This window comes from Homo sapiens, chromosome 16 (assembly GCF_000001405.40).
Source record: "Homo sapiens chromosome 16, GRCh38.p14 Primary Assembly".
Classification (NCBI taxonomy): domain Eukaryota; kingdom Metazoa; phylum Chordata; class Mammalia; order Primates; family Hominidae; genus Homo; species Homo sapiens.
Window position 1 is genome coordinate 67,694,253 of NC_000016.10, and position 20,591 is coordinate 67,714,843.

General features: G+C 45.6%; 1 protein-coding gene across 4 annotated transcripts in view, besides 2 other annotated features; it reads right to left on the minus strand.

The window, feature by feature from the left end:
• The window catches only part of GFOD2 (Gfo/Idh/MocA-like oxidoreductase domain containing 2), a 44,781-nt gene that overhangs the window by 19,717 nt on the left and 4,473 nt on the right, over positions 1 to 20,591 (minus strand). The window contains exon 1 of one of the 4 annotated variants that reach the window (XM_047434723.1): positions 10,532 to 10,990. The exons of the other annotated variants lie outside the window; for them this stretch is intronic. The gene's annotated coding sequence lies outside the window, so the exon portion shown is untranslated. Of the gene's footprint in view, positions 1 to 10,531; positions 10,991 to 20,591 lie in introns of those variants that run through there. 4 annotated transcript variants of the gene reach the window in all.
• Positions 15,078 to 15,856: an enhancer, noted in NCBI's record as "NANOG-H3K4me1 hESC enhancer chr16:67743233-67744011 (GRCh37/hg19 assembly coordinates)". NCBI's record gives its function as "activates a minimal SCP1, AML or CMV promoter by ChIP-STARR-seq in primed H9 embryonic stem cells {active_cell/tissue: H9 hESC(primed)}" and the evidence as "EXISTENCE:reporter gene assay evidence [ECO:0000049][PMID:30033119]".
• Positions 15,857 to 16,634: an enhancer, noted in NCBI's record as "H3K4me1 hESC enhancer chr16:67744012-67744789 (GRCh37/hg19 assembly coordinates)". NCBI's record gives its function as "activates a minimal SCP1, AML or CMV promoter by ChIP-STARR-seq in primed H9 embryonic stem cells {active_cell/tissue: H9 hESC(primed)}" and the evidence as "EXISTENCE:reporter gene assay evidence [ECO:0000049][PMID:30033119]".

Here is a 20,591-nt window from a genome sequence, read left to right on the forward strand (position 1 = left end):
TCCAGAAGTGCTGGGATTACAGGCATGAGCCACTGAGCCTGGCCTAATTTTTTATTTTTTGTAGAGATGGGGTCTCACTGTGTTACCTAGGCTGGTCTCAAACTCTGGCCTCAAACTCCTGGCCTCAAGCGATTCTCTCAGCTCAGCCTCCCAAGGTGGTGGGATTATAAGCGTGACCCACTGAGCCTGGCTTTTTAATAAAAAAGTTTTTTTTAATTTTATTTTAATATAGAGGCAGCATCTTACTATGTTGCCCAGGCTGGTCTTAAATTCCTGGCTTCAAGTGATCCTCCCACCTCGGCCACCCAAAGCACTGGGATTATAGGCATGAGACACCACGGCTGGAGAAATTGTTTTCTCAACTTCATTTTCAAGCCCAGCATCTCTTTTGCTCCTACTGTAGACACAAGTGTACTGGACTAAGAAAATGTCTATAGTAGGGGATGGTTTGTCAGCATAGCCCAGTATAACATCCTGTACTGCTCGATTCTATCTGAAGTACACCTGTTCCTTTGTGAACCACTAAATTACACATGACTTGGGCTGCCTCTAACTCCAGATCCCTGCCAATTTCGTGCCTCTTGTCTCCACTCTCTGTGACTGTGAAGCTTGGCTTGCCTCCTGTACTCTCACTGGGGTTGTTTTATTTTAACCAGCTTTCATTCTTTCTGATGGTAAACTGTCTGTGGCCACTCAGTCACCTTGCTTTCCTTTTCTACTTTCTCCATCTCTCTCTTTTTTTTTTTTTTTTTTTTTTTGAGACGGAGTCTCACTCTGTCGCCTAGGCTGGAGCGTAATGGTGCAATCTCGGCTCACTGCAACCTTTGCCGCTCCGGTTCAAGCGATTCTCCTTGCCTCAGCTACTACCTCAGTAGCTGGGGTTACAGGCACACGCCACCATACCCAGCTAATCTTTGTATTTTTAGTAGAGACAAGGTTTTACCATGTTGGCCAGGCTGGTCTCGAACTCCTGACCTCAGGTGATCCACCCGCCTTGACCTCCCAAAGTGCTGGGATTACAGGCATGAGCCACTGAGCCCAGCCACCATCTCTCTCTTTTCTCTTTGCTAATTCTGCCCCTACAGGCTTCTCTACTAGTTTTCTTAGAAAACAGGTCAAGCACACAGTTATCTTCTACAATTTTCATGTCCTGGACTCCCTTCGGCTATTTGGTCACTGTCTGCTTTTACAGGTGTCTTGGTTATTTACAGGTTATGGCTGTTATAGGAGCTTGACAGTGTCAAGCATGCAGCATTAGGTAAGTAGTGAGATTCTACTTAAGTTTTTTTTTTTTTTTTTTGAGACGGAGTCTCATTTCTGTCACCCAGGCTGGAGTGCTGTGGCATGATCTTGGCCCACTGCAACCTCAGCCTCCTGGGTTCAAGCGGTTCTCCTGTCTCAGCCTCCCGAGTAGCTGGGATTACAGGCATGCGCCACCATACCTGGCTAATTTTTGTATTTTTAGTAGAGACAGGGTTTCACTATATTGGCCAGGCTGGTCTCGAACTCCTGACCTCAGGTGATCCTCCTGCCTCGGCCTCCCAAAGTGCTAAGATTACAGGCATAAGCCACTGTGCCCAGCCAAATTTTGTTGGTCATTAATTACTAATTGTTACAGGGCTAAGGGAGTGAGACACAGTCCATGTCTTCTCTAAATTCATGCCCAGGGCACACCTCCTCCACTCTCACACCGTGTTCCTTCTCACCCTAGTTGTATTTGGGTATATATAGGGAATGTATGTATCCACTACATAGGGAACCCTTTTTTTTTTTTTGAGATCGAGTTTCGCTCTTTTTGCCCAGGCTGGAGTGGTGCAATGGCACGATCTCGGCTCACTGCAACCTCCACCTCCCAGGTTCAAGCGATTCTCCTGCCTCAGCCTTCCAAGTAGCTGCGATTACAGGAGCCCGCCACCATGCCTGGCTAATTTTTTGTATTTTTAGTAGAGACGGGGTTTCACCATGTTGGACAGGATGGTCCCGATCTCTTGACCTCGTGATCTGCCCGCCTCAGCCTCCCAAAGTGTTAGGATTACAGGCGTGAGCCACCGCGCCCGGCCGGGAATCTTTTTTTTTTTTTTAAATGATCTATTACGTATCTATGACCAACTTAGATGTCTCCTCTTCAAAAGCTGTGTAGGAATATGAGGATGATAATTTTGAGCCAATATGAAGTGAAAAATATATATAAGTATCGGTAGCTTAAAACAACAGAATGGACTAGAATTTTTTTTCTTTTTTGAGACAGTCTCGCTCCGTCACCCAGGCTGGAGTGCAGTGGCGCGCTCTTGGCTCACTGCAAGCTCTGCCTCCTGGATTCACGCCATTCTCCTGCCTCAGCCTCCCGAGTAGCTGGGACTACAGGCACCCACCACCACACCCGGCTAATTTTTTGTATTTTCAGTAGAGACGGGGTTTCACCATGTTAGCCAGGATGGTCTGGATCTCCTGACCTCGTGATCCGCCTGCCTCAGCCTCCCAAAGTGCCGGGATTATAGGCGTGAGCCACTGCGCCCGGCCGAAAAATTTTTAATAACCTGTTTTACTGCCACTGACTCAAAGGGAAGCTTCATCAACTCCCATAAAGGGGTATTGGCTGGCCCCCGAGGAAGCCAGATGGCATGAAGGCAGGCAGGCTTGCTGACTAGGTATTTCCTGCCCAAGCAGGCAGAGCTGGTTTTCCTTGTTAATTTCAGTGGCTACCCTTTCTCACCCCTAAAATTTCCCCACTCTTTGTCTTTAACATCCTTGCACATATCCTTCAGATGCCTCCAAAGATCTCCACAAACCCAGTCCTGCCAAGACCACATACATTTCCCATCACCACATGCTGGTCAGGAATGAAGTGTGCCTTGGCAGGACAGGCTATATACAATTTGACAAGGCCTTGCCTGGGTTCAAATCCTGGCTCTGTCACTTTCCAGCTGGGTGACCTCAGGTAAGTCCTTTAGTCACTCTGTATCTCCATTTCCTCATCTGTAAAATGGGGAAATTTTATCTACCTCACAGGGGATTTAAGGATTGAGTTAATATTTGTAGAATACTTATAATTGGGCCTGGCCAATTAGATATGAGTCAGTACATAGGGAATCTTTTTCTGAAAAAAAGATATCTGTTAACTATCTGTGACTGACTTAGATGTCTCTTCTTCAAAAGTTGAGTAGAAATATGAGGGTCATAATTCTGAGCTAATATGAAGTGAGTATAATAGGGCAGCCAGTGTTTAGTCTGTCCCTTGTTCCATGCAACCCTGTTGTACAGATAAGAAAACATGCTCAAAGAGGTGAGGTAACTCTCCCAGGGTTCCACGCCTGGCTGTGTGCATGACCTGCTACAACCAGCATGAAACCTTGAGCAGGTTACTTCACTTCTCTGAGCCTCTATAAAAACAAGAAAGAAAAAGAGTCATTTTGTAACATGTGCATGTGTGGAGCAACTCTTCTTCCATCCTTCCTCATGAGTGTGAGCCAGGCAAGTTCCTTCCACTGTCTGCTCTGGGGGTGACTGTTTGCCTCTGATCCACTGTTCAAAACCAATACTAATCTGGTCAATGTCTCACCTTTTCTGAGGAGCTAACGAGGGAGCTGTGGGACATAAAAAGATGAAAAGTCCTAATTTCAGGGGTGACAAGTCAGCAAGGTGAGTAGGAGCCAGAACTGGTGGCGTAAAGTGTTAATCTCAAGAGTTTGGACTTTGACAGGTGGGTGTGCTCAGTATTCTTGGTCTGCTCCTCCTTCCCTACCTGATCCTCTCTGCCCTGCTTTTTGTCTCTGGAGTCAGAAGGTCAGTCTCTAAAGCCCTGGGCTCCAGGTCCTCTGGCTTCCATCTGAGTCCAGCCAAGGGAAAGAACCAGGAAGAGATCAGCGAGCAGGAGGAAAGGCCAAGGTGTTTATTTTTTGCCTTCTCTCCCTCCCAGGATATGGTTCTGGCAGAGCTGTGTTCCTTAACCAAGGTCACAGCTCCTTTAGAGGACCCCTCTCTCCCATGGCCATTGCTTTTGCTGGGTTCCAGTGACACATCCCCACTCCGTCATTGCACCTAGGGTGGGGACACTACCTTGCCAGTCCCTGGGTGCTCCACTATCCCTTGTATGTTTCCTTTACTACTCACACTATTGTGAATAATCCCTTCATTAAAGAGTTTTTAATTAACCCTTTGAGTACACTGACTGTTTCCTGTCTAGACCTTGACTAATGCAGGTAAGCAATAAGAACCATTGGATTTTTTTTCTTTTTCTTTTTCTTTGAGATGGAGTCTTGCTCTGTCACCCAGGCTGGAGTGCAGTGGCGTGATCTTGGCTCATTGCAACCTCTGCTTCCAGGTTCAAGCAAGTCTCCTGCCTCAGCTTCCCGAGCAGCTGGGATTACAGGTGTGCGCCACCATGCCCAGCTAATTTTTGCATTTTTAGTAGACACGGGGTTTCCCCATATTGGCCAGGCTGGTCTCGAACTCCTGACCTCTGGTGATCTGCCCACCTCGGCCTCCCGAAGTGTTGGGATTACAGGCGTGAGCCACTGTGCCCGGCCTGCATTTTTTTTCTTTAATTTGGCAGAAAGACGTAGGTAGGATAGAGTTTAGGAGACATTAGACACAGAGAACCAGTTAGGATATCAAGTAAGACATAAGGAGGGTCTAATGGAGGGAATGAAATGGAGCAGACAGTTATCACTAGGATTTGGGATTATCAGCAGGGTGGGAGAGCCAAAAAAATAAAATAAAATAAATAACTGAACTATAGACCAATACGTCTCATAAACTTAGGCACAAAAATCCTCAACAAAATATTAGCAAATTAAATCTAGCAATGTGGCTGGGCGTGGTGGCTCACACCTGTAATCCCAGCACTTTGGGAGGCCAAGGCGGGCGGATCATGAGGTTAGGAGATTGAGACCATCCTGGCTGACATGGTGAAACCCCGTCTCTACTAAAAATACAAAAAATTAGCCAGACGTGATGGTGGGTACCTGTAGTCCCAGCTACCCAGGAGGCTGAGGCAGCAGAATCGCTGGAACCAAAGAGGCAGAGGCTGCAGTGAGCTGAGATCGCACCACTGGCACTCCAGCCTGGGCAACAGAGCAAGACTTCATCTCTAAAAAACAAAACAAAACAAAAATAAATAAAAATTAAAAAAAAAATACACCATGACCAACAGGGGTTTAATCCCAGGAATGCAAGGCTGGCTCAACATTCTAAAATCAACTACTATTGGATAGGAGAATGTGGTGTTTTTTTGTTTGTTAGTTTGGTTTGAGACAGAGTCTCACTCTGTCACCCAGACTGGAATGCAGTGGCGCAATCTCGGCTTACTGCAACCTCCGCCTCCTGGGTTCAGGTGATTCTCGTGCCTCAGCCACCCGAGCAGCTGGGACCACAGATGTGTACCACCACGCCTGGCTAATTTTTGTACATTTTGTAGAGAAGGGGTTTTGCCATGTTGGCCAGGCTGGTCTCAAACTCCTGGCCTCAAGCGATCCACCAGCCTCAGCCTCCCAAAGTGCTGGGGTAACAGGAGCAAGCCACCGCGCCCAGCCTGGATAGCAAAATGTTTAACTGAAAAAGAAAAAAAAAAAAGGCCAGGTGCAGTGGCTCACCTGTAATCCCAGAATTTTGGGAGGCCAGGAGTTCAAGACCAGCCTGGTGAACATGGTGAAACCCTGTCTCTACAAAAAACAAACAAAAAAAGCCAGGTGCAGTGGCACACACCTGTGGCTACTCAGGAGGCTCAGGAGGGAGGAACACTTGAGCCTGGGAGGTGGAGGTTGCAGTGAGCCATTTTTGCACCACTACACTTCAGCCTGGGCAACAAGAGCATGACCCTGCCTCAAAAAAATAAAAACTAGGCCAGGCGCGGTGGCTCACGCCTATAATCCCAGCACTTTGGGAGGCCAAGGTGGGCAGATTGCCTGAGCTCAGGAGTTTGCGACCAGCCTGGGCAACAAGGTAAAACCCCATCTCTACTAAAATACAAAAAAATTAGCCGGTCATGACAGTATGTGCCTGTAGTCTCAGCTACTTAGGAGGCTGAGGCAGGAGAACTGCTTGAACCCGGGAAGCAGAGGTTGCAGTGAGCTGAGATCGTGCCACTGCACTCCAGCCTGGGCAACACAGTGAGACTCCGTCTCAAAAAAAAAAAATTAAATTTAATTTAAAAAATAAAATCAATTACTATAACTTACCGTATCAGTAGTCATTAGACAGCATTAATTAGAAATACAAATTAAGGCCGGGCACGGTGGCTCACCTGAGGTCAGGAGTTTGAGACCAGCCTGGCCAACATGGTGAAACCCTGCCTCTACTAAAAATACAAAAATTAGCCAGGCATGGTGGCGGGTGCCTGTAATCCCAGCTGCTTGGAAGGGTGAGGCAGGAGAACTGCTTGAAGTCGTGAGGTAGAGGTTGCAGTGAACTGAGATTGTGCCACTGCACTCCAGCCTGGGTGACAGAGCAAGACTCCATCTCAAAAAAACAAAACAAACAAACAAACAAAAAACAAATTAAGGCTGGGTTCAGTGGCTCATGCCTGTAATCCCAGCACTTTGGGAGGCCGAGGCGGGCGGATCACCCGAGATCAGGAGTTTGAGACCAGCCTGGCCAACATGGTGAAACCCCGTTCCTACTAGAAAAAAAAAAAAAAATTAGCCAGGCATGGTGGTGCACGCCTGTAATCCCAGCTACTCAGGAGGCTGAGGCAGGAGAATCGCTTGAACCCAGGAGGCGGAGGTTGTAGTGAGCCGAGATTGTGCCACTGCTCTCCAGCCTGGGTGACAGAGTGAGACTCTGTCTCAAAAAAAAAAAAAAAAAGAAATACAAATTAAAACTTATTAAATACACATTACAATGTCTGAAATTCAGAAAACCTGATATCAAATACTGGCAAGGGTAGGAAGCAACTATTCATTATTGGCGAAAATGTAAAATAATATAGCCACTTTGGAAAAGTTTGCCATCTTATAAAGCTAAATAGATACCTATCACACAACCTAGCAATCCTACTTCTAGGTTTAGTACTTACCAAGAGAAATGAAAACTTATATTCACACAAAAACCTATATGTGAATGTCTACAGCAGCTTTATTCATAATTGCCACATCTTGTAATCAACACAAATATCCTTCAATAGGTAAACAGATAAACAGTAGTATATCAACGCCAATGGATACTATTCAGCAATAGAAAGAACATACTACGGATATATGCCACAATGAACAAATCTCAAATGCATTCTGCTAACTGAAAGATGCCCTACTTAAAGGCACCATACTGTGTGATCCCATTTAAATGCCATAATGGAAAAGCAAAACTATAGGGACAAAGAGTAGATCAGTGGTTGTCAAGGGTTGGAACTGGGGCTAAGTGTAGACAACAAAGGGGCACAGGGGAATTTTTGTGGGGTGATGAAACTGTTCTGTATCTTGTCTAGGGTGGCAATTACATGACAGCATTTGTCAAAACTGATAGCACAGAATATACAGAAAAAGGATAAACTTCACTGTTCTGTAAATTATACTTCAATCAATGTGACTGACCCCACTTAAAAAAAAAAAAAAAAAGACCCTGAAGTTTTAAGCCTAAGTGACTGAGAAACTGCAGTGTCCTTAAGAGAAACATGGAACCCAAAAGGCCCGACTGTTGAGACTTTGGTGTGGAGGCTGAGATTTGTGAATTGTTTTTTCCCAGACTGCCTGAACATCATCTTACCTTCTGTGTATCTAGTCTGTAGAACCCCAGCTTCTGCCAAACTAGAGGCCACGACCCACTGCCTATCACAGGGGTGGGAGAAATCCAATCTGGTAATTGTTTTTGTAAATAGTTCTATGGGTATGACAGAACACAGTCATACCCATTTGTTTACCTACTCCTTTATTTATGGTTGCTTTTGTACCACCAACAGCAGAATAGGTACAACAGAAGCCATACGGCCCACACAGCTTAAAATACTTAAAATTTGGAGGCCGGTACAGTAGCTCACACCTATAATCCCAGCAGTTTGAGAGGCTGAGGCAGGCGGATTGCTTGAGGCTAGGAGTTTGAGACCAACATGTGAAACACTGTCTCTGCTAAAAATACACAAATTAGCCAGGCTTCAGGGTGTGCGCCTGTAATCCTAGCTACTCAGGAGGCAGAGGCAGAAGAATCACTTGAACCTGGGAGGCAGAGGTTGCAGTGAACAGAGATCATGTCACTGCACTCCAGCCTGGGCAACAGAGTGACTCTGTCTTAAAAAAAAAAAAATTTACAATTTGGCCCTTTACAGAAAAGATTTGCTGACCCCTGCCCTACGCTCTGTTATAAGGCCCAGGAACTCCAACTGACGCAGTATTGTCATGAAGGTAGCCAGGATTTTTTTTTTTTTTTTTTTTTTTTTGAGATGGAGTCTCGCTCTGTTGCCCAGTCTGGAGCACAGTGGCACAATCTGAGCTCACTACAACCTCTGCCTCCTGGGTTCAAGTGATTCTCCTGCCTCAACCTCCCGAGTAGCTGGGATCATAGGCATGTGCCGTGCCTGGCTAATTTTTGTATTTTTTAGTAGAGATGGGGTTTCACCATGTTGGCCAGGCTAGTATTGAACTCCTGACCTCACATGATCTGCCTGCCTCGGCCTCCCAAAGTGCTGGGATTACAGGAGTAAGACACTGCGCCCGGCCAGTAGCCAGGATTACAGTAAAAAAAGAATCACCCACCTCACTGTGTGTGAGAAATCAGATTCTGGGAATTTTGGAGTCAATGGATAACTTTAGAGGTCACTCACTCATTAGGCAGCTTGTATAGTGGTTAGACCCTCAGCAGAAGGTGCCTAAGAATTCTTCTTTCCTGACAAGTCTTTATAACGTTGGGGTTTTAAAGTGCAGAGTTAAAACCTGTATTTCCTGGCCAGCCACGGTGGCTCATGCCTGTAATCCTAGCACTTTGGGAGGCTGAGGCGGGCGGATCACCTGAGGTTGGGAGTTCCAGACCAGCCTGACCAACATGGTGAAACCCCATCTCTACTAAAAATACAAAATTAGCTGGGCATGGTGGCGCATGCCTGTAATCCCAGCCACTTGGGAGGCTGAGGCAGGAGAATCGCTTGAACCCAGGAAGTGGAGATTGTGGTGAGCCGAGATAGCGCCTTTGCACTCTAGCCTGGGCAACAAGAGCAAAACTCTGTCTCAAACAAAACAAAACAAAACAAAACAAAAAGGAAAAAAAAACCCTGTATTTCCTAGCATTCCTTGTAAAGAGGTGTGTCAAATGAGATAAATATAGAAGGTATAGTTTGGCAGAATGTCTGGAAATGTTCTTTAAAGGAGGCAATCTCAACTGGCAGGAACTGTCACCCCTGCCCCTTTCTGTCTGGAATTACCACCAGGAGGTGACTTGAGGATAAAACACAATTTCTTGCAGATTTTGACACTGAAAAGATGAATCAGATGTTACCTGTACCCTCAAAGAACTCCACAGATCAGACAGGCACTTGAGCAAATCTGTCATATGGTAGACAGGCAGAGCAACAGAAACTTGCCTCTGTTGCAGAGAAGAGCACCATTAACTACAGGGGCTAGAGGCAGTGTACAGGCAGGAAAGACTTCCTGGAAGAGACGACATAACTCCCCATTACCCATGTGCCCAGCCCCTGGCAACCACCATTCTACTTTCTGTCTCTGAATCTGACTGCCCTAGGTACCTCACATAAGTGGAATCATACAGTATGTGTGCTTCTATGTCTGGCTGATTTCACTCAGCGTAATGTCCTCAAGGTTCATCCATGTTGTAGCATGTGTCAGATTTTCCTTCCTTTTATAAAGGCTGAATAATATTCCGTCGTGTGTAGATACCACATTTTGCTTATCCATTTATCTGTCAGTGAATGCTCGGGTTGCTTCTACATTTTACTATGTCCATAATGCTGCTATGAACTTGGGAGTACAAATTATAGTTTTTTGACCCCGAGTTCAGTACTTTAAATTTTCACTCTAATAAATTTCATTTAGTTTAATTTGGGTGACTGTTTACCAGCTGAGATAATTTTGGATATTTACTCACTGTCCCTACCAGCTTTGTGTCAGCTGAAAATGAGATCAGCGTAACAACATCTCTTTTTGAGTAAACATTACGTGCCCCGTGCTTTACAGGCATCATCTGATTTAACAATTATAACTTCCAGAGGCAGGTGCCATTATTATTATCTTCATTTTACAGATGAGGAAACTGAGGCTGCCATCGTTTTTTGGATTAGTGATTTCAAGTACAGTAATTACAATTTCACAGAAGTATACTAGCTCTAATTTCTCTTTTTGCCCAATGGGATGAGAAACTACAAAAAACCCCCACAGCTCACATTTAAATAAATGATATTTATATTTGGCACTCCCCTCAAGGTTACTAATAATCCAGCAAGCATACTAAAAAAACCAAATTGTTGCCAAGTGCACACACAGTCAGAACTGACCATAATATCCACAAGGCCAACAACCAGATGTGTATAGGCACCTGACGCAGAGTTAGGCCTTAATAAATGTTAGATGATGATGTCCTTTATAAATCCACACACCTTGCAGTGTTCTCCAGTTCTCTTTCTAGGTGCTCAGGGATCATTTGTTTGATGAGATGTTCTTGCATAGTTCTGAGGAATCACCAGCATCAGGCTCAAACATCACAGACATTGTGTATCGCTTATCATCTGGCACCTGCCTCTGCTCCACAATGCCTCAAGGCTTATTGACAGTAGTTTATGGAGTATATCATGGTCAGCTGCTACTTTTCTGAGACCCGTGGGATGTAATTCAAATTGATCAGAGGAAACAAACCCACTGGGCACTGGGTATGCTACCTTCCCTGCACATGGTCCTTCCAGCTGGGTCTCTGATGAAAGAGAAATATAGGAGTTGAATAGTTGTTTTCCCTGCCATGGTATCCATTATTCATCCTAAATACCTCTCAGTATATCTTCAAGAATACTTTTGATCACCTGCCAGTTTTTTCTTTTCTTTTTTTAGACACAATCCCACTTTGTTGCACAGGCTGGAGTGCAGTGGCATGATCTCAGCTCACTGCAACCTTCGCCTCCCAGGTTCAAGCAATTCCCCTGCCTCAGCCTCCCAAGTAGCTGAGATTACAGGCATGTGCCACCATGCCCAGCTAATTTTTGTATTTTCAGTAGAGACAGGGTTTTGCCAAGTTGGCCACGCTGGTCTTGAACTCCTGGCCTCAAGTTATCCACCCATCTCAGCCCCGCAAAGTGCTGAGAACACAGGCGTGAGCCACTGTGCCCAGCCTACCTACAGGTTTTTTCAAGTGTCATTACTTGTTCTGGGATTGTGTCTCCCCGATCCTATTAGCAGCAGTGAGCTAGCTCTTCAGAAATTTATAGATGAATGGAGCCTGGGTGGTTCCATCCAAGCTTTTAAAAAATGTACCTGTAATAGGCTGGGTGTGGTGGCTCACACCTGTAATCCCAGCACTTTGGGAGGCCAAGGCGGGCGGATCACTTGAGGTCAGGAGTGCGAGACCAGCCTGGCCAACATCGTGATACTCCGTCTCTACTAAAAATACAAAAAATTAGCTGGGCACGGTGGCAGATGCCTGTAGTCCCAGCTACTCAGGAGGCTGAGGCACGAGAATCACTTGAACCTGGGAGGCGGAGGTTGCAGTGAGCCGAGATCACGCCACTGCACTCCAGGCTGGGCAACAGAGTGAAACTCTATCTTTAAAAAAAAAAAAGTGCCTGTTATGGTTTTCCCTGTGATTTTTTTTTTTTTTTTTTTTTTGGAGACGGAGTCTTGCTCTGTCACCCAGGCTGGAGTGCAGTAGTGCAATCTCAGCTCACTGCAACCTCCGCCTCCGGGGTTCAAGCAATTCTTCTGCCTCCTGAGTAGCTGGGATTACAGACGCGTGCCACCACGCCCAGCTAATTTTCATATTTTTTGTAGAGATGGGGTTTCACCACATCGGCCAGGCTGGTCTTGAACTCCTAACCTTGTGAGATCTGCCTGCCTCGGCCTCCCAAAGTGCTGGGATTACAGGTGTGAGCCACTGCGCCTGGCCTGACCATACTTTTTTAAATTACAAAATATGCTTTTTATTTCTCAGTGCTGGGCTTTTAAAAAGAGCCATTAGAGATTTCTATAGACAAAGTTACAGCCTTGTAATACTATCTTTACCCTGCAAGTCACACAAATGCGGTAAACTGATTTTCAGCCAAAGCATTAAATCAATTCAATGGGGAAAAAAATTCTTCTTAAGAAATGATGTTGGAACAATTGGATATCCATATGGCAAACAACCTTAACCCCTCTCTCTCACTGTTATATGCAAAAATTAATTCAAGACAGATCAAAGACCTAAATGTAGAAGCCAGAACCATAAAGCTTCTAGAAAAATACATCAGAGAGTACTTTTTGAAATCATGGGGTAAGGATTTCTTGGACAGGACACAAAAAGCACTAACTCATTGAAAACTGGATTTCAAAATTTAAAATAATTTCTGCTCATTAAAATACATCATTAAAAAAATGAAAATGCAAGCCACAGGTTGGGAAAAAATATGAGCTGAATATATATGTAACAAAGGACTTGTCTGCAGAACTCCAACAAATCAGCAGATGATGAGGTCAGGAGATTGAGACCATCTTGGCTAACACATGGTGAAACCCCATCTCTACCAAAAATGCAAAAAAATTAGCCAGGTATGGTGGTGGGCACCTGTAGTCCCAGCTACTCGGGAGGCTGAGGAAGGAGAATGGTGTAAACCCAGGAGGTGGAGCTTGCAGTGAGCCGAGATCGCACCACTGCACTCCAGCCTGGGCAACAGAGCGAGACTCCATCTCAAAAAAAAAAAAAAAAATGTCCGGGCGCAGTGGCTCACGCCTGTAATCCCAGCACTGTGGGAAGCCAAGATGGGTGGATCACCTGAGGTCAGGAGTTCAAGACCATCCTGGCCAACATGGTGAAACCCCATGTCTACTGAAAATACAAAAATAGCCTGGTGTGGTGGTGCATGCCTGTAATCCCAGCTACTCAGGAGGCTAAGGCAGGAGAATTGCTTGAACCCAGGAGGCGGAGGTTGCAGGGAGTGAAGATCGCGCCATTGCACTCCAGCCTGGGCCACAGAGTGAAACTCCATTTCAAAAAAAAAAAAAAAAGACTTACAATCCTGAAGTTTGGAGAGGATATGCGGCAAATGGAACTCCCATACATTCTTGGTGGGAATGTAAAACAGTACAACCACTTTGGAAAATTGACAGTTTCTTATAGTTAAACATATATCAACCCAATCACAGCAACTCCACTTATAGATATTTATCTAAGAAAATAAAAACATAAGTCCACAAAAAAAATTATACAAATGTTCACAGCAGCCTTATTCATAATGGCCCCACACTAGAAACAAATGTTCACATCATAAATTATGATGTCACACAATGGAATACAGTAAAACAGTAAAAAGGAATTAACTATTAATGAATTTTTTTCTTTTTAAAAATTTTATTAATTTTTTTGTAGAGATGTGAGTCTCACTGTGTTGCCCAGGCTGGTCTCAACCTGCTGGCCTCAAGTGATCCCCCTGCCTCAGTCTTCTAAAGTGCTGGGATTACAATGAACCACCTCGCCTAGCCTGTATGAATCTTAAAAACATTATGTAGAGTGAAAGATGGCAGGCCCACACACAGAAGACCCATACTGTAGAATTCCACTTTTTTGAAATTCAGGAATAAGCCAGCCTTATTTATAGCAACACTAGTCAGAAGGCGGCAGTGGCGGTGGTGGCTGAGGCGGAGGGAATCGAACAGAAAGAGGCACAAGGCTACATTCTAGAGTGATGGAAATGTTCTGTATCTTGTTTGGTGCTTGGGTTACATGGTGGTACAACTGTCAAAACTCATCAAATTGAATATTTAAGATCTGTGTTTTTAATTGTATGTAAATTATACCTTAATTTTTAATCACCTTAAGTAGTTGTGCCCAAGGACATAGAACAACCTGTTCACACCTTGCAAATTCAGTTCTGTAATCAAACTAAATGGATATGTGTGAATTAGAAGTCTCTTTCCTTTAAAACAAAACAAAAAAACCTGTAAGCTTACTTTTGGGGACATCATCGGTACAGGCTGGGGCCAAGAGAATAAGTTTTCTGAGAAAGAAACTTCAAGCTAAGGCCCAGTAGGCTGGTGAATCCCAGCACTTGCTGAGCGTATCTGAAGATGGCACTTTTCCCTGGGCAGTGTGTCACACTGGGTGAGTGGCTGAGCTCCAGATGTTAGGAAGTCCTCACCACTCATGAACAACTCATACTGAGGAAGGGAGGGTTCAAAAGGGGTTCTCCCGTATCATTTCTGGCAAGCAAATTTAATGATGGCTATTCATAGAGCATTGGTATGTATCAGTTTGCAGTTGTAGCTATACAGGTTGGGCAATAAGACTTGGCACTGAAAGAGTGGCAAGCCCTCACTTAGTGTCAGCCTCCACTGTGCCTCAAGGGCCACTCACCATGAGACTAGCCCCAGATCCAGCCCCACACCTTCCAGAGCACTGCATCCTGAGAGGCACCTCCACAGACTTGATGCACACCTCTGTCCCCTCAGGCACATTCCAAAAGGCCAGTGTCAAGACCCATACTGTAGAATTCCCTTTATTTGAAATGCAAATAAGACTCATTTGATAATTTGATTTTTCTGTGAATTCTTTTCAGTAATTTCATCCTAATATAAAGCACTGGGGCCAGAGGTGAGGGTCACGGCCCTAGTTATGAAGTGAGACAGATCCTCAACCTAACTTAAAACAAACTGTAGGGCTGAGAGCAGTGGCTCACACCTGTAATCCCAGGACTTTGGGAGGCCGAGGCAAGTGGATCACTTGAGCCCAAGAGTTTGAGACCAGCCTGGGCAACATGGCAAAACTCCTTCTCCACAAAAAATACAAAAATTAGCTAGGCATGGTGGCACAAACCTGTAGTCCCAGCTACTCAGGAGAGGAGACTGGGGTGGGAGGATCTCTTGAGCCCAGTAGGTCAAGGCTGCAGTGGGCTGTGATTGCACCACTGTACTCCAGCCTGGGCAACAGAGCCTATCTCAAAAGAAAAAAAAAAAAAAGATTGGGACATTAGCTAGGCTGATTAGGTGTTTTAGGTGCTTGTGTATAAAATGACACCTGTAATTTATGTAGATTGATTAATAAATACTTATTAAGCACAGACTATGAGCCAGGCCTCAGCAAAGTGCAGGATACTTCAGTAAGCCAAACAGATATAGTTTCTGCTTGCAAAGAGTGTACAGTCTAGGAGGAGAGATAAGATAATCAAATAATCACATAAATATGTAATTATGATTTGAGATTAAATGCTATAAAGGAAAAGAATGGTGCTATGAGAGACTCAGCAGGATATAAATTAGCCTTATTATTATTATAATGGAGTCTCACTCTGTCACCAGGCTGGAGTGCAGTGGCATGATCTCAGCTCACTGCAACCTCTGCCTCCTGGGTTCAAGCATTCCTCCCACTTCAGCCCCCTGAGTAGCTAGGACCACAGGCACATGCCACCACACCCAGCTATTTTTTTTGTATTTTTGGTAGAGACGGGGTTTCCCATATTGCCCAGGCTGGTCTTGAGGCTGGTATTCAACTCTTGTCCTCAAGTGATCCGCCCGTCTCAGCCTCCCAAAGTGTTGGGATTACGGGCGTGAGCCACCGTGCCCAGCCAAATTAGCCTTATGTTTATCTATTTTTTATTTTTTGGGGACAGAGTGTCACTCTGTCACCCAGGCTGGAGTGCAGTGGTGCACTCTTGGCTCACCACAACCTCTGTTTCCTGGGTGCAAATGATTCTCCTGCCTCAGCCTCCCGAGTACCTGGGATACAACTGTGAGCCACGACACCCAGCTAATTTTTTTTGTATTTTTATTTATTATTTTTTTAGAGACAGGGTCTTGCTCTGTTGGTCAGGCCGGAGTGCAGTGGGGCGATCATAGCTTACTGTAGCCTCGAACTCCTGGGCTCAAATGATCCTCCTGCCTAGGCCTCCCAAAGTGCTGGGATTATAGGCATGAGCCACCACGCCAGCCCTGTATTTTTAGTAGAAACCGGGTTTCACCATGTTGGCCGGGCTGGTCTCAAACTCCTCACCTCAAGTGATCTGCCCGCCTTGGCCTCCCAAAGTTAGCCTTTGTTTTTTGAGACGAAGTGGAGAAGTGCAGTGGTGCGATCTCAGCTCACCGCAAGCTCCGCCTCCCGGGTTCACGCCATTCTCCTGCCTCAGCCTCCCGAGTAGCTGGACTACAGGCGCCTGCTACCATGCCCGGCTAATTTTTTGTTTTTTAGTAGAGACGGGGTTTCACCGTGTTAGCCAGGATGGTCTCGATCTCCTGACCTCGTGATCCACCCACCTCAGCCTCCCAAAGTGCTGGGATTACAGGCATAAGCCACCGCGCCCGGCCAGTTAGCCTTATTTTTAAAAGTGTTCAATGACAGATTTATAATGCACTTTGAGTTCCACGTGAGAAAGGTTTCACACTCTGAGGCTCAATTACGATAAAAACACTGACATTGTGAGTCATTTTCTATCCACTGACCCCTACCCTGCTCCTTGACTATCAATCCCCACTTGCTGTGCTCTATTCAGAGTTGAGCTCAGTCTCTCTCCCCAACTGCAAGACTCATTGCAGAGGTACCTATACCTGCCGCCATGGTCCTGAATAAAGTCTTCATCACCATGAAAAAAACCCAAACATTGACATTGGTTGTGCAGTAAAAGGCACAGCAGCCCAATGTCATTAAAAACCCAATTTGTGATTAACAGACACTCCCCTTCCCCAGAGCAGTAACCAGACCCAAAAGCATTTCTTCAGAATGAAGACTCCAAAAGAGGTAGGAAGGAAAAGTACAATGTTCAGAACTTCAAACTGCAATTATGCAACTCTCTCATGATGCTCTGTGTTCAGGCATCATGGCTGAAAACCCTGGATTATTGGTTGTAAATCATACTACAAATAACCAAGCTTCAGCTATCTCATCTTTGTCAAATACAATTAAATCCAGTGGTCAATTCTCACCTTCATCCCACTTTGACCTATCAGCAGCATCTGACATGGCAGGTTCCAACCTCCTTGAAACACTCTTCACCCGACTTCCACAACACAAATTTCTTCTGATTTTCCTCTTACCTCTCTGACCACTTCTCGGTTCCTTCTGCTCATTTCTCCTGATGGTGACTGTAGTAACCATGGCTCAGTCCCCAGTCTATTTCTCTTTTCTATCTATACTCACTCCCTTGGTGGTTCCATTCAGTGTCATGGCTTTTAAATGTTATCTATTCCCTGATGACTCCCAAAGTTATCAGCCAGGTCCTCTTTAAGCTCCAGACGGGTGCAAACAACCGCCTATTAACATCTCTACTTGGATGTTTAATAGGCATCTCACACTTAAAATGTCCAGAACTAAACTCCTGATGTTTCTCCCCACCAAACATACTCTTCCCACAATGCCTTCATCTCAGAAACTGGTAACACAAACTTTTCAAATGCTCAAGTTAAAACCTTGGAGTTATCCTTGAGTCTTCTTTTTCTCTCACACTTCACATCTGATCCATTAACAAGTCTTGCTGGCTCTCTACCTTCAAAATATACCCTGCATCCAAGAACCTCTATTGTGCAGACATCCACGTGGCTTTCTCTCTCTCTCTCACGTTTCCTTCAGGTCTCTACTTCCATGTTGGCTTTTCAGAAACAGGTGTATTCTTCCATTGTTTGTCTCTCCCCACCATCCCTGCTAGAATGTATCCTCCTTGAAGACAACAAATTTTTTGTCTGTTTTGTTCATTGCTATATCCCTAGTGCCTAAAACAAGGTCTGACATGTAGTTGGTGCTAAATATTTGCTGAAAGAATGAAAGATTTCAGACCTAGTTCCTGCACAGTCAATAAACTAAGACATATATACTGAGCCCATCAAAACCATACTATAGAAAACCATATATACTGAGCTCACCAAAACCATCAGTAGGCTCTTGCAATGTTTAAAAATGTAATAAAGAGCTCCCTCTCCCTCTCCCTCTCCCCCTCCCCCTCCCCCTCCCCCTCTCCCTCTCCCTCCACGGTCTCCCTCTGATGCCGAGCCAAGGCTGGACGGTACTGCTGCCATCTCGGCTCACTGCAACCTCCCTGCCTGATTCTCCTGCCTCAGCCTGCCGAGTGCCTGCGATTGCAGGCGCGCACCGCCACGCCTGACTGGTTTTCGTTTTTTTTTTGGTGGAGACGGGGTTTCGCTGTGTTGGCCGGGCTGGTCTCCAGCTCCTAGCCGCGAGTGATCCGCCAGCCTCGGCCTCCCGAGGTGCCGGGATTGCAGATGGAGTCTCGTTCACTCAGTGCTCAATGGTGCCCAGGCTGGAGTGCAGTGGCGTGATCTCGGCTCGCTGCAACCACCTCCCAGCCGCCTGCCTTGGCCTCCCGGAGAGCCGAGATTGCAGCCTCTGCCCGGCCGCCACCCCGTCTGGGAAGTGAGGAGCGTCTCTGCTTGGCCACCCATCGTCTGGGATGTGAGGAGCCCCTCTGCCTGGCTGCCCAGTCTGGAAAGTGAGGAGCGTCTCTGCCCGGCCGCCATCCCATCTGGGAAGCGAGGAGCGCCTCTTCCCCGCCGCCATCCCATCTAGGAAGTGAGGAGCGTCTCTGCCCGGCCGCCCATCGTCTGAGATGTGGGGAGCACCTCTGCCCCGCCGCCCTGTCTGGGATGTGAGGAGCGCCTCTGCTGGGCGCTCAAGTTCAAGTGATTTTCCTGCCTCAGCCTCCTGAGTAGCTGGGACTACAGGCATGCACCACCACACCCAGCTAATTTTTTTTATTTTTTATAGAGACAGGGTTTCGCCATCTTGGTCAGGCTGGTCTTGAACTCCTGGCCTCAAGTGATCCGCCCACCTCGGCCTCCGAAAGTACTGGGATTACAGGCGTGAGCCGCCACACTGGCCAGACATAAGCATCTTTCATGTTATCATAAATAGTTTTATGGGTTACATAACAGGTATGTCATTGTGAAAGTGGAAAGACAAATTCAAATTGTTTTTCCTCTGCTTTCACACCACAATAATCAACACAGAAGACCAAATGTGTGGGGGTTTCTCCCCACACACCAAGCAAGCAAGCAATTCTGCAGTCAACACCTGCTGGTGTCCTTCAATTCAATTCTGACGATATCTACCTGGAGAATCGCATCAGATCCCCCAGGTAGAGGGCTCAGTCCCACAGACTTCCCCTTCCCGACTTCCAATGCCATCAAAAGCCCCAGGTTGTTTCAACTGTGCCTCTGCCTGATGGGCTACAGACTGGAGATCCTATGACTCCCTCCTTCAGATCAACTAATTTGCTAGAGCAGCTCACAGAACTCTGGGAAACACTTACTTATATTTACTGGTTTATTATAAAGAATATTACAAAGGATAGAGATGAAGAAGGTGCATAGGGCAAGGTATGGGGGAAGGGGCTTGGAGCTTTCATGCCCTCCCTGTGTTTATGGAGGCTTCATTAACTAGGCATGATTGATTAAACCACTGGCCATTGACGATCAACTTAACCTTCAGTCCCACTCTCCTCCCCAGAGGTTGCAGAGTGGGGCTGAAAGTCACAACCCTCTAATCATGCTTTGATGTTTCCTATGACCAGTCCCCAGCCTGAAACTACCCAGGAGCTGCCAGCCACCAGTTAACTCATTAGCATACAAAAAACCATCACTCAGGAGATTCCAGGGATTTGGTTGGTGCAAAAGCAACTGCGGTTTTTGCCATTACTTTGCGGCAAAATCTGCAATTGCTTTTGCACCAACCTATTGAAATTGCATGCCAGGAAACAGAGACAGAAGACCAAATATGTATTTCACAATATCACAGCCACTGACCGTATGAACTAGCTTTTCATTCTCTAGTGTTACACATTTATGACATTTTCATTTTGCTTCCTGTTATACAGGTTAAGAAATTATGGTCCAGAGGCCAGGCAGGGTCACTCCCAACTGTAATCCCAGCACTTTGGGAGGCTGAGGTGAGCCGATCACTGAGGCCAGGAGTTCAAGACCAGCCTGGCCAACATGACGAAACCCCATCTCTACTAAAAATACAAAAATTAGCCAGGCATGAAGGCGCACACCTGTAATCCCAGCTACTCGGGAGGCTGAGGCACAAGAATCGCTTGAACCCAGAAGTGGACATTGCAGTGAGCCGGGATTGTGCCACTACACTCCAGCCTGGGAGATAGAAACACTGTCTCAAAAAAAAAAAAAAAAAAAAATTACGATCCAGAAATTACACGATTTGCCTAAGGTTATCATCCTAAGTAAAATACAATTATGAAAGTAAATAATAAAGATTTTGAGGTTATAAAGTGATACAGTAAAATCTCAAAGCCAAGTAGAAGTGTTTTGGGTTCTATTTTGGGGTTATCTATTCTCATGAGAAATTGAGAGCTGACAATTTGAGAGTAGCACAGTTATCCCAGGCCAGAAAGGAAGACCACACTAAGTACTCAGTTCCCATTTTTCACAGTCTTCATTCCAAATCCTTGATTATAGAGGACTGATAGAAATCTTTACAGAAGCTCTTGGGAATGACTTAGAAAGGTGGCAGAGAGAGTGAGCTAT